This window comes from Homo sapiens, chromosome 8, assembly GCF_000001405.40.
Source record: "Homo sapiens chromosome 8, GRCh38.p14 Primary Assembly".
Lineage (NCBI taxonomy): Eukaryota > Metazoa > Chordata > Mammalia > Primates > Hominidae > Homo > Homo sapiens.
In genome coordinates this window covers 48,002,867-48,016,992 of record NC_000008.11, presented here as the reverse complement: position 1 = coordinate 48,016,992, position 14,126 = coordinate 48,002,867, and the positions used below count along the sequence as shown (strand labels likewise).

The window sequence follows — 14,126 nt, the reverse complement described above, 5'->3', positions numbered from 1 at the left end:
CCAACATGGTGAAATCATGTCTCTACTAACAATATGAAAATTAGCCAGGCATGGTGGCGGGTGCCTGTAATCCCAGCTACTCGGGAGGCTAAGACAGGAGAATCGCTTGAACCTGGAGGTGGAGGTTGCAGTCAACTGACATCTCGCCACTGCACTCCAGCCTAGGCGACAGAGCGAGACTCTGTCTCAATTAAAAAAAAAAAAAAAAAAAGGCTGGGCACGGCGGCTCACGCCTGTAATCCCAGTACCTTGGGAGGCCAAGGTGGGAAGATCACCTGAGGTTGGGAGTTCGAGAGCAGCCTCACCAACATGGAGAAACCCCGTCTCTAATAAAAATACAAAATTAGCCAGGCATGGTGGTGCGTGGCTGTAATCCCAGCTACTCGGGAGGCTGAGGCAGGAGAATTGCTTGAACCCAGGAGGTGGAGGTTGCAATGAGCCGAGATCATGCCATTGCACTCCAGCCTGGGCAACAAGAGCCAAACTCCGTCTCAAAAAAAAAAAGATGACAGATAACAAGTGTTGGTGAGTATGTGGTGATAAAGGATAATCTAAGCATGCTGTTGGTGGGAATGTGAATTAGTACAACCATATGGAGAAAGAAGAGTATGGAGTTCCTCAAAAACCTAAAAACAGAGCTACCGTATGATCCAGTAATCCTGCTACTGCATATATAGCCAAAGAAAATAAAATCAGTATGTCAAAGAGAGGCCTGCACTCCCATTTTATTGCAGCACTACTCAAAATATGCAAGATATAGAATCAACCTAAGTATCCATCAACCAACAAATGGATAGGCTGAGCGCGGTGGCTCACGCCTGTAATCCCCATACTTTGGGAGGCCGAGGCAGATGGATTGCTTGAGGTCAGGAGTTTGAGACCAACCTGGCCAATATGGTGAAACCCCATCTCTACTAAAATACAAAAATTAGCCGGGCTTGGCGGCGGGTGCCAGTAATCCCAGCTACTAGGGAGCCTGAGGCAGGAGAATTGCTTGAACCCAGGAGGTGGAGGTTGCAGTGAGCTGAGAACGCGCCACTGCACTCCAGCCTGGGTGACAGAGTGAGACTCCGTCTCAAAAAAAAAAAAAAAAAAAACCACACAGACAAATGGATAAAGAACATGTGGTATACGTATACAGTGGGACACTGTTCCAATCATAAAAAAGAAGGAAATTCTCTCATTTCCAACAACATGGATGAACCTGGAGAACATTATGTTAACTGAAATAACACAGGCACAGAAAGACAAATACATATTATCTCACTCATATATGGAGTCAAAATTGATCTCACAGAAGTAGACAGGAGATGGTGGTTACCAGAGGTTAGGATGGTTGGGGTTACGGGGGTGGGGATTGGGAAGATGTTAGACAAAGGATACGTAATTACAGTCAGGAGGAACAAGTTTAAGAGCACTACTGTATAGCATGGTGATTAGTTAACAACATACTGTATTCTTGAAAAATACTCAGTAGCTATTAAGTATTCTCACCACAAAAATGATAACTATGTGAGATAATGTATTTGGTAATTAGCTAGATTTAACCATTCCACAATGTACAGATAATGTACTTCAAAACATTAGCAAGCATTGTTCAAATTAATTTTTTTTTTGACACAGTGTCTTGCTCTGTCGCCCAGGCAGGAGTGCAGTGACACGATCACAGCTCACTGCAGCCTCAACCTCCCAGGCTCAACCCATACTCTACCTCAGCCTCCCAAGTAGCTGGGACTGCAGGTGCACATCACCACACCCAGCTAATTTTTGCATTTTTTGTAGAGATGGGATTTTCTTGTATTGCCCAGGCTGGTCTTGAACTCCTAGGCTCTAGTAATCCACCCACCTCGACCTCCCAAAGTGCTGGGACTACAGGTGGAAGCCACTGCACCCAGCCTCAAGCTACTCTTGACAAGCCTTATTTTTTTTTTTTTTTTTTTTTGGAGATGGAGTCTCGCTCTGTCACTCGGGCTGGAGTGCAGTGGCACAATCTCAGCTCACTGCAAGCTCCGCCTCCCGGGTTCATGCCATTCTACTGCTTCAGTCTCCCCAGTAGCCAGGACTACAGGTGCCTGTCACCACGCCCGGCTAGTTTTTTGTATTTTTGGTAGAGACGGGGTTTCACCATGTTAGCCAGGATGGTCTTGATCTCTTGACTTCGTGAACCACCCACCTCGGCCTCCCAAAGTGCTAGGATTACGGGCGTGAGCCACCACGCCCAGCCAACAAGCTTTTTTTAATGAAATAAAACATTTTAATTCTTAATATCTGATACTTTAAATTATGACATACTAAATATTAATTTTACTGGTTTCATTTTCCTGCACATTTTTTTTTTTTTTTTTTTTGAGGCAGAGTCTCTCTCTGTTGCCCAGACTGGAGTGCAGTGGAGCAATCTCAGCTCACTGCAAGCTTCGACTCCCAGGTTCACACCATTCTCCTGCCTCAGCCTCCCGAGTAGCTGGGACTACAGGCGCCCATCACCACACTCGGCTAATTTTTTGTATTTTTAGTAGAGATAGGGTTTCACTGTGTTAGCCAGGATGGTCTCCCATCTCCTGACCTCGTGATCCGCCCCCCTCAGCCTCCCAAAGTGCTGGGATTACAGGCGTGAGCCACCATGCCCGGCCCTTTCCTGCATATTTCTAAACAGGGAGAGTTCTTAATGTGTTGACATTTTTGAAGGTCTCAGAATAACCATAATTTTCCCAATTATTAAGACTGCTTTGGGTAGTTTTTTGCATGGCCATTTTTACCTCTGCCAACTGCCGTTCAAAGGACTGCCTGTACAGTGAGGTTGTACCATATTATCAAAAGCATGTTTATCAAGAGAATTCAGGCTCCCAAATGACCTAGAAAAATCAACCAGGCCAGTTATGGAAGCCTCAAGAGGGAAATACACTAGACTACCATAGTTCAGCTCTTCTATCGTTTAGTTCCCAAGTTCTAGGTTATGATTTAAACTATGTAATTCTCTTCTATCACCACACCCGAGTTCTGTCCATATCCAAGTATCTTCATCTAAAGAGGAAAACAAGATGATGTTGTCCAATCTTTTCACAGATGGGATGGGAAAAGCAATGTTTAGTGATTAACTGACATGCCCATGGTGGCACAGTAGTCTGTCAGGGGCAGCAGGGAACTCAGAACACTGCTAAACTAGTTCTTCCAGTATATACAATGCTACCCACTTCTGAAGAAGGCAATTAGTAGGTTATATTTTGGTTTTGTTTTCTGCCTACATAGCAGAAAACATATTCTTTCATCAATTTTTTCTGAGTTTCTCATAACTCAAAGACATTTTCCAGGCATCTACAGTCAGAGACTAGAGCTTCACTGTACCATTAATATTACCTAAGTGATAAATGTAAAACGTTTCATGTGGGCCGGGCGCGGTGGCTCACGCCTGTAATCCCAGCACTTTGGGAGGCCGAGGCGGATGGATCACGAGGTCAGGAGATCGAGACCATCCCGGCTAACACGGTGAAACCCCACTTCTACTAAAAATACAAAAAAAATTAACCGGGCATGGTGGCAGGCGCCTATAGTCCCAGCTACTTCGGAGGCTGAGGCCACAGAATGGCATGAACCCAGGAGGCAGTGCTTGCAGTGAGCCAAGATCACGCCACTGCACTCCAGCCTGGGCCACAGAGCGAGACTTCATCTCAAAAAAAAAAAAAAAGTTTCACGTTACAATGTAATGTGGTATCCTGGATGAAGTCCTAGGACAGCAAAAGTACATTAAAGAAAAACTAAGGAAATCTGAACTTTAGTTAATAATAAATGTGTCAATATTGGTTCCTTAATTGTGACAAGTGTACCATACCAATATAAGAAATTAACAGCGAAGCCAGATGCAGTGGCTCACACCAGTGATCCCAGCACTTTGGGAGGCCAAGGCGGGCGGATCATGAGGCCAGGAGTTTGAAACCAGCCTGGCCAACATGGTGAAACCCTGTCTCTACTAAAAATACAAAAAATTATCCGGGTGTGACAGCACACACCTGTAATCCCAGCTACTCGGGAGGCTGAGGCAGGAGAATCACTTGAACCCAGGAGGCAGAGGTTGCAGTGAGCCCAGATCACGCCACTGCTCTCTAGCCTGGGCGACAGAGCAAGACTCCATCCCGAAAGAAAAAAAAAGGAAATTGACAGGGAAAACTGAATGTGAGGTGCATGGAAACTTTCTGTACTATCTTCACAACTTTTCTGTAAAACTAAAACTATTGTATTTTTTTAAAACTATTGCACACGCTTTTTTTCTTTTTTTTTCTGAGATGGAGTCTCACTCTTCTTACCCAGGCTGGAATGCAATGGCGTGCTCTCGGCTCACCACAACCTCTGCCTCCCGGGTTCAAGAGATTCTCCTGCCTCAGCCTTCCGAGTAGCTGGAATTACAGGCATGTGCCACCACGCCCGGATAATTTTGTATTTTTAGTAGAGACATGGTTTCTCCATGTTGGTCCAGCTGGTCTCAACCTCCCGACCTCAGGTAATCCGCCCACCTCGGCCTCCCAAAGTGCTGGGATTACAGGTGTGAGCCACCCCACCCGGCCTGCACATACTTTTCTATCTAAACTAATTGTTATTATTAATGCTGGAATCTAATAAAATTTTGAATCATGAGTACTAAACAGTATCAAATTTCTATTCCCGAGAGTAGCTTCTTAACCTCTGTCCTGTGAAATACTCTTGAATTGCATGGGTAACTCTGTCTCTTGGAAAAGGAGAACCTAGCTGGTGAGGGCTACGTTCCCCTTTCATCCATAAGAAGGATCTAAGAGTCTGAAACAAGGATTGTGCTAAGAAGGGAAGTGTGAAAGGGAGTAATTAAGATTCATGTTCTGAGAAATATTCCAAATTCAGAGTTCTTCATAATGGAGAGCGCATCAGACTAAGGGTAAAAGACCTGGATTCTAGTCTTGCCTGTACTAGTAACCACCTATGTATAGCCTTTTACTTGTTTGAGCCTCAGTTTTCTCATCTGCAAAATAAGAAGACCAGATGGGATGGCCAAAAATGTTTCTGCTTAGAAGTCTCCGTCTGGCCAGGCACAGTGGCTCAAACCTGTAATCCTAACCTCAGGCCAGGGCAGGAGGGTCACTTGAGTCCAGGAGTTCAGACTACACTGGATAACATACGGAGACCCTGTCTCTACAAATAATTTAAAAATTAGCCAGGTGTGGCAATGCGTGCCTGTGTTCGCAGCTACTCGGGAGGCTGAGGTAGGAGGATCACCTGACCCCAGCAGGTCGAGGCTGCAGTGAGCCATGATCGCATGCCACTGCATTCCAACCTGGGCAACACAGCAAGACTCCGTCTCAAAAAGTCTCAGTCTAATTAAAAGTTTTTTCCTTCCAAAATTCTCTTCCAGTAGAAGGAAGGGTTAAAGGGGCTAAGGTATATGATGCACACTGAACTAAAGATCAAAACATATTTGTCAGGGTTTTTCTTTTTGGCCTCTTAAACAACTGTTATCGAGATACTTTGGCTTAAATAAAAAACACGTGTATTAGACCAAGCTCAGTGGTTTATGCCTGTAATCCCAGAACTTTGGGAGGCCGGAGCAGATGGATTACCTGAGGTTAGCAGTTTGAGACCAGCCTGGCCAACATGGTGAAACCCCATCTCTACTAGAAAAAATATATATACAATAAATTAGCTGGGCGTGGTGGTGCATGCCTGTAAACCCAGCTACTCAGAATGCTGAGGCAGGAGAATTGCTTAAACCCAGGAGGAAGAGGCTGCAGTCAGCCGAGATCGCACCATTGCACTCCAGCCTGAGCAACAAGGCGAGACTCCGTTTCAAACAAACACGTGCATTACATCGATGTAGCTCATCTAATTTTAAATTTTAAGCTGTATCATGCTGCTTTCACAAATACACAGGTACTATTTACTTCCCATGTTACCAAAAAGCAAACAAAAGTATAGCTAATAGTAAAATTAAAACTAATTAATAGGCTGGGCACTGTGGCTCACACCTGTAATCCCAGCACTTTGGGAGGCCAAGGTGGGCGGATTGCCTGGGGTCAGGAGTTTGAGACCAGTCTGGACAACATGATGAAAACCTGTCCCTACTAAAAAAAAAAAAAAAAATACAAAAAAAATATATATATACAAAAAAATTTGCTGGGCGTGGTGGCATGCACCTGTAATCCCAGCTACTCAAGAGGCTGAGGCAGAGGAATTGCTTGAACCAGGGAGGTGGAAGTTGCAGTGAGCCGAGATCATGCCCTTGCACTCCAGCCTGGGCAAAGAAGCGAGAGACTCAGTCTCAAAAAAAAAAAAAAACAAACAAACCCAGGCGCAGTGGCTCACACCTGTAATCCCAGCAATTTGGGAGGCCGGATCACGAGGTCAAGAGATCAAGACCATCCTGGCCAATATGGTGAAACCCCGTCTCTACTAAATATACAAAAAATTAGCTGGGCATGGTGGCACGCGCCTGTTGTCCCAGCTACTCAGGAGACTGAGGCAGGAGAATCGCTTGAGCCCGGGAGGCGGAGGTTGCAGTGAGCCGAGATCGCGCCACTGCACTCCAGCCTGGGTGACAGAGCAAGACTGCGTCTCAAAAAAAAAAAAAAAAAAAACTAGTAGATGGGAACGGTGGCTCACCCCTGTAATCCAGCACTTTGGGAGGCTGAGGCGGGTGGATCACCTGAGGTGAGGAGGGTGCAGTGAGCCAAGATCATGCCACTGCACTCCAGCCTGGGCAATGCAGCGAGACTCCATCTCAAAAAAAAAAAAAAAATACAGACTCCCTATGTACAATATGCTAATAATTTATCAGTAATCTTTATAATTTATATTCAACTTCCAAAACAACTAAAAGTGATTAACAAAAAGTATTTGCCATTAATATCATCTAACCTTTGGTCTTTTCAAAATATTAACATACACTCATGTATAGTGTTATGAAAAAATTGTGTTTAATAATGCAACCCACAAAAGGAAAATGAAAAGTATTAAATTAAAATGCATTATTTTATTACTAAATTTTCAAAAATCTATAAGAGGTCCTAAGCACAACTGTTATAAAGATATGGCCCCGTTAACGAGCACAGATTAGATTTCAGCAAGCACAGTAAAGTCATAACACTAAAATTCCACTTTTAAAACAATCCTTGCCTTACTAGCTAGCTGACCCAAGTATGTATACTACCCCAACACTAGAACTGCTAAAGATCTTAAAACCTATGACACCTATATGTAATAAAGATGTAAAAGACACCACTTAATTAAAATGTATGCAGAATGTATCCTGAGGTATTACTCTAAAGCAACAATTACAACATATATTCAAAGCCTTCCATTTCAGTACATATAGATTTGAAAATTCATTTTATTATGCAATGATGGCATAAACTATTAAATCACACTGCTCTATACTCTTGTTTCAACGAAGACTAGGAAAAGGCAGATCAGGCCGAGCGCGGTGGCTCACACCTGTAATTCCAGCACTCTGGGAGGCCGAAGTGGGCGGATCACCTGAGGTCAGGAGTTCGAGACCAGTCTGGCCAACATGACAAAACCCCGTCTCTACTAAAAATACAAAAATTAGCCGGGCCTGGTGGCACGCGCCTGTAATCCCAGCTACTTGGGAGGCTGAGGCAGGAGAATCACTTGAACCTGGGAGGTGGAGGTTGCAGTGAGCCGAGATCACACCACTGCATTCCAACTGGGCAACAGGGTGAGCCTCTGACTCAAAAAAAAAAAAAAAAAGAAAAGAAAAGAAAAAGGCAGATCACACGGGTTAACATTTTTAAATGTAAACTAAAGCTTAACGTTTTTAACATTTCTGAAATGGTCTAATGTCTAAAACCTCAACGTTAATACTTGTGTGCTCACAGGAAACCAAACATTGTATTCAGTAGGAAAGAGGAGTTGAACAGCTTATCTAAGAAACCACTTGTTCTTCAATTAGCTTTCATCTTGCTCTGGTCTTTTATTTTGTTTGCACTGCAGTTTTCCTCATAAATAATAAAAAGATCACACGTATTCAGTCAGGTAAGAAAGATCCTCTCGCTCTTATTTTAAGGAGCAATCGTCCTCTACTCCCCAACCCATGTCAAGGAGAGTCCAAAGGAATGGGACCCCTACTCTGATCCAGGACACCTCTTGGCCTGACCCATCTTCGGTGCCGGTTGGCCTGACCCATCTTCGGTGCCGGAGGTTGACACCCGCCCACCTTGGGCCTCCTCGCCTCCCTCCCGTAGAGCCTTCAGCCTACAACTCGGACCCGCGCCCGCCGGAACCTACGGGGGCGCCCGCGCGGGAGCCACCCCGCCCCCAGCCCGCCGGCGCGCGGCCGACGCGCGAGCACGACCCGCCAACCCGACGGCCGCCGGGGCCTCGGCGCCGGTCCCACCCGGTCCCAGGCTACGCTCTGCGGAGAGCGCGGCATTCGAGACAGCGCACTCGGGCTTCTCCCGCACGGTCAGCGCTCGGGCGCCAGCAGCAGACGGAGGGGCAGAGCCGGGTCGGAGCGGAAAATCACGCAGCCCGGCCCGGGAACCGACCTGTGGAGACCGCCATCTTCTCCTGCAGCCCGACGCAGCCGCCCGCACGCACGCACGAACCGTCGCGCGTCACTTCCGGGAGCGCGCCGCCCTGCACGCGTCACAGCGGACTCCGCCCCCGGCGGGCGCGGGGCGACCCGAGGGACAGCGCGCACGTGGGCCGAGGGGTCGCGGGGCCTCGCTGCTGTTTCCGCAATTCCCTTGTGAATCCCGCTCTCAAAATGAAACGCTAAAGAATAAGTTCATGAGGGCCGGGCGCGGTGGCTCACGTCTGTAATCCCAGCACTTTGGGAGGCCGAGGCGATCGGATCACCCGAGGTCAGGAGTTCGAAACCAGCCTGGCCAACATGGCGAAACCCCGTCTCTACTAAAAATACAAAAATTAGCCGGACGTGGTGGCGCGCGCCTGTAATCCCAGCTATTTGGGAGGCTGAGGCACGAGAATCGTTTGAACCGGGGAGGCGGAGGGGCAATGAGCCGCGATTGCGCCACTGCACTCCAGCCTGGACAACAGAGCGAGACTCCGCCTCAAAAAAATAAATAAAAATAAGTGGGCATTGACAGATTTGCGTTGATAAACGATTCAAAAGAGTTGGACAATAAATTTGAACAGCTAGGGATGCTGAGGTGGGAGGGTCACGTGAGCCCAAGAGGTGAGGCTGCAGTGAGCAGAAATCGCTGCACTCCAGCCTGGGCAACAGAGGGAGACTCCATTTCAAAAAAAAAAAAGAAAGAAAGAAAAAGGAAAGTAATACAGGCTGGGCGCCGAAGCTCACTTCTGTAATCCTAACACTTTGGGAGGCTGAGGCAGGAGGATGGCTTGAACCCAAGACTTTGAGACCAGCTTGGACAACATAGTGATACCTAGTCTCTACATAAAACTGAAAAAAAAAAAAAAAAAAGATTTTTCACATCCCTTGTAGGTTGTATTCCTAGGTATTTTTATTCTCTTTGTAGCAATTGTGAATGGGAGTTCACTCATGATTTGGCTCTCTGTTTGTCTGTTATTAGTGTATAGGAATGCTTGTGATTTTTGCACATTGATTTTGTATCCTGAGACTTTGCTGAAGTTGCTTGTCAGCTTAAGAAGATTTGGGGCTGAGACTATGGGGTTTTCTAAATATACAATCATGTCATCTGCAAACAGAGACAATTTGACTTCCTCTTTTCCTAATTGAATACCCTTTATTTCTTTCTCTTGCCTGATTGCCCTGGCCAGAACTTCCAATACTATGTTGAATAGGAGTGGTGAGAGAGGGCATCTTTGTCTTGTGCCGGCTTTCAAAGGGAATGCTTTTGGCCGGGCATGGATCCCAGCACTTTGGGAGGCGGAGGCGGGCGGATCACGAGGTCAGAAGATCAAGACCATCTTGGCTAACACAGTGAAACCCTGTCTCTACTAAAAAAAAAAAAATACAAAAAATTAGCCAGGCATGGTGGCAGGCCCCTGTAGTCCCAGCTACTCGGGAGGCTGAGGCAGGAGAATGGCGTGAACCCGGGAGTTGGAGCTTGCAGTGAACCGAGATGGCGACACTGCACTCCACCCCAGCCTAGGGGACAGAGCGAGACTCCATCTCAAAATAAAAAAAAATAAAAAATAAAAAGAATCCTTCATTCCAGTTTTCGCCCATTCAGTATGATATTGGCTGTGGGTTTGTCGTAAATAGCTCTTATTATTTTGAGATACATTCCATCAATGCCTAGTTTATTGAGAGTTTTTAGCATGAAGGGCTGTTGAATTTTGTCGAAGCCTTTTCTGCATCTATTGAGATAATCATGTGGTTTTTGTCATTGGTTCTGTTTATGTGATGGATTACATTTATTGATTTGCATATGTTGAAGCAGCCTTGCATCCCAGGGATGAAGCCGACTTGATCTTGGTGGATAAGCTTTTTTGATGTGCTGCTGGATTCGGTTTGCCAGTATTTTATTGAGTATTTTCGCATCAATGTTCATCAGGGGTATTGAGCCCACGTAGCCAAGGCAATCGTAAGCAAAAGGAACAAAGCTGGAGGCATCACACTACCTACCTGACTTCAAACTATACTGCGAGGCTACAGTAAAAAAAATTGCCTAGTACTGGTACCAAAACAGATATATAGATCAATGGAACAGAACAGAGGCCTCAGAAATAACTCCACATATCTACAACCATCTGATCTTTGACAAACCTGACAAAAACAAGCAATGGGGAAAGGATTCCTTATTTAATAAATGGTGTTGGGAAAACTGGGTAGCCATATGCAGAAAGCTGGAACTGGATCCCTTCCTTACACCTTATACAAAAATTAACTCAAGATGGATTAAAGACTTAAACGTAAGACCTAAAACCATAAAAACCCTAGAAGAAAACCTAGGCAATACCATTCAGGATGTAGGCATGGGCAAAGACTTCATGACTAAAACACCAAAAGCAATGGCAACAAAAGCCAAAATTGACAAATGGAATCTGATTAAACTAAAGAGCTTCTGCACAGCAAAAGAAACTACCATGAGAGTGAACAGGCAACCTATAGAATGGGAGAAAATTTTTGCAATCTATCCATCTGACAAAGGGCCAATATATAGAATCTACAAAGAACTTAAACAGATTTACAAGAAAAAAATAAGTCCATCAAAAAGTGGGCAAAGGATATGAACAGACACTTCTCAAATGAAGACATTTATGCAGCCAACAAACATGAAAAAAAGCTCATCATCACTGGTCATTAGGGAAATGCAAATCAAAACCACAATGAGCTACCATCTCACACCAGGTAGAATGGTGATCATTAAAAAGTCAGGAAACAACAGATGCTGGAGAGGATGTGGAGAAATAGGAATGCTTTTACACTGTTGGTGGGAGTATAAATTAGTTCAACCATTGTGGAAGACAGTGTGGCGATTCCTCAAGGATCTAGAACTAGAAATACCATTTGACCCAGCAATCCCATTACTGGGTATATACCCAAAGCATTATAAATCATTCTACTATAAAGACACATGCACATGTATATTTATTGTGGCACTGTTCACAATAGCAAAGACTTGGAACCAACCCAAATGGCCATCAGTGATAGACTGCATAAAGAAAATGTGGCAAATATACACCATGGAATACTATGCAGCCATAAATTAGGATGAGTTCATGTCCTTTGCAGGAACATGGATGATGCTGGAAACCGTCATTCTCAGCAAACTATCACAAGAACAGAAAACCAAACACCTCATGTTCTCACTTATAAGTGGGAGTTGAACAGTGAGAACACATGGACACAGGGAGGGGAACATCACACACTGGGGCCTGTCAGGGGTTGGGGGCTAGGGGAGGGATAGCATTAGGAGAAATACGTAATGTAGATGACAGGTTGATGGGTGTAGCAAACCACCATGGCACGTGTATACCTCTGTAACAAACCTGCATGTTCTGCCCCTGTTCCCCAGAATTTAAATTAAAAAAAAAAAAAAAGGAGAAAAAGTAGTTAAGAGAAAAAAAAAAAAGCTGGCATTCTGGTTCGTGCCTGTAGCCTCAACTACTCAGGAGGATGAGATGGGAGGATCACTTGAGCCAGGAGGTTAAGGCTTCAGTGAGTTATGATGGCACCACTGTAATACAGCCTGGGCAACAGAATGAGACACTGTCTTAAAAAAAAAAATGCAGGGGGCCAGGTGCGGTGGCTCACGCCTGTAATCCCAACACTTCAGGAGGCCAAGGCAGGTGGATCACAAGGTCGGGAATTCAATACCAGCCTGGCCAAAATGGTGAAACCCTCCCTCTACTAAAAATAGAAAAATTAGCCAGGTATGGTGGCGGCCACCTGTAATCCCAGCTACTTGGGAGGCTGAGGCAGAGAATTGCTTGAACCCAAGAGGCGGAGGTTGCAGTGAGCTGAGATCACACCACTGCACTCCAGCCTGGATGACAAGAGCGAGACTCTGCCTCAAAAAAAAAACAAAAAAACAAAACAAAAAAAAAAAACAGAAGAGGAAATAAAGAAGAATCATAATATACTATCCTTATCTACTCTCAAGCCACTGTAACTTGACAAGCCAAAATGAGACTGTTTTTCTCACAAAGGGACCTGACACAATAACCTAACTGAAATTTCTTACCAGTGCAGAGAAAAACTCTAATATTATCATCAAATTATTAAACTTTCCCCAAGTTTGTCTGCTGAGTTCTAGTGACCTCAGCATTATATACTTAGCAACAGCCTCTAGCTGACCTATCCTAAATATCAATATTTCTTAAACACCACATTTATTATGTCCTTACTGATTGAGAAAACCTGCATTTGCTTCCTTTTGCCTACCACCAGATTGGTAGTAAGTTTCATATTGATTGCCAGTAATGATTATCTGAAGAGCCATTTCTAAGACCATATCCAAGTTCAGCAGAAAAAAAGTCTTGTCATCCCATGTTGGTGTAACTACCATAGGTAGTTATAGCAGAAAATGGTCCATTTACCACCCTGGCCAAGGATGCCAAGCCCAAACACCACGGCCTGATTTTCACAACCTACCAGAACCCAGCCTCCACTGATACCTCCTGAATGATTTCCCATCTCTCTCCAGTGGATGCCCACACTCAGCCAAGCCGCCTCTCAGGTGCACTATTGCCACTGCCCTGGTTGTTTCTCCACCTGAGATACCACATCTCTCCTCCACCTTTCAACATCCTGTCCTCCCTTAAGGCCAAATTGAAATCCCACTTCTCTGAATCCTTTCCTGATTTATTTTTCTTGTCTTTTCATTAAACTGATCTGCTCTTTTAGTCTGTACTAAGAAGTTAGTACAGCAAAAAAACTAATATGTTCTCTCTGTAACATGAAAATCAGATCCATTTTAATCCACTTGACTTTTTAACCCTCAGAGTTGTGGGGCCTCAATAGCCAAGACATTCATGGACCCTCCCACTAGCAGGAAGCTCAGTACCTGCGATCAAAGCACACTCACACACATGCACACACAGAAAAACCCATTATGCGCCCTGGGAACATTGTTGCCTTGACATTTTCATGCTATCTCCCCTGTAATTTAAATTTGGAACTGGGCTTCTTTCTCCTGTTGAGGACAAAGTTCAACCACTTAAAGTGTTTGGTCTAAAGCTTACTCTTCTCCACTTTCATTATGTTTTCCCTGTTTACGGTGCCATCCAATTATGGAATCTGATGGTTAATTCCCAGTGCTCATCCCACTTGACCTGCCAGCAGCTTCTAGAGCAATCAACAATTCTGTTATCTGAGAACTAAATTCTCTCTTTTTTTTTTTTTTTTTTGTTTGAGACAGAGTCTTGCTCTGTCGCCCAGGCTGTAGTGCAGTGGCGCAATCTTGGCTCACTGCAACCTCCACCTCCCGAGTTCAAGCGATTCTCCTGCCTCAGCCTCCCAAGTAGCTGGGACTACAGGCATGCGCCACCATGCCCAGCTAATTTTTGTATTTTTAGCAGAGACGGGGTTTCACCATGTTGGCCAGGATGGTCTCAATCTCTTGACCTCATGATTCGCCTTCTTCGGCCTCCCAAAGTGCTGGGATTACAGGTGTCAGCCACTGCGCCTGGCCAATTCTCTCTTTCTTTTTTAACGACATGATATTTTGAAATACGTATACATTACGGAATGGCTA

General features: G+C 44.9%; 1 protein-coding gene across 3 annotated transcripts in view, besides 2 other annotated features; it reads right to left on the bottom strand.

Annotated features, from left to right (window-relative positions):
- The window catches only part of UBE2V2 (ubiquitin conjugating enzyme E2 V2), a 67,272-nt gene that overhangs the window by 47,716 nt on the left and 5,430 nt on the right, over positions 1-14,126 (bottom strand). Inside the window, exon 1 of one of the 3 annotated variants that reach the window (NM_003350.3) lies at positions 8,523-8,562. The exons of the other annotated variants lie outside the window; for them this stretch is intronic. Within the exon in view, the coding sequence (NP_003341.1) occupies positions 8,523-8,538 (16 nt within the window). The 5' untranslated portion in view covers positions 8,539-8,562. Of the gene's footprint in view, positions 1-8,522; positions 8,563-14,126 lie in introns of those variants that run through there. 3 annotated transcript variants of the gene reach the window in all.
- Positions 8,167-8,366: a silencer, noted in NCBI's record as "silent region_19181". NCBI's record gives its function as "represses an Ori minimal core promoter by ATAC-STARR-seq in GM12878 lymphoblastoid cells {active_cell/tissue: GM12878}" and the evidence as "EXISTENCE:reporter gene assay evidence [ECO:0000049][PMID:35858748]".
- Positions 8,597-8,856: a silencer, noted in NCBI's record as "silent region_19180". NCBI's record gives its function as "represses an Ori minimal core promoter by ATAC-STARR-seq in GM12878 lymphoblastoid cells {active_cell/tissue: GM12878}" and the evidence as "EXISTENCE:reporter gene assay evidence [ECO:0000049][PMID:35858748]".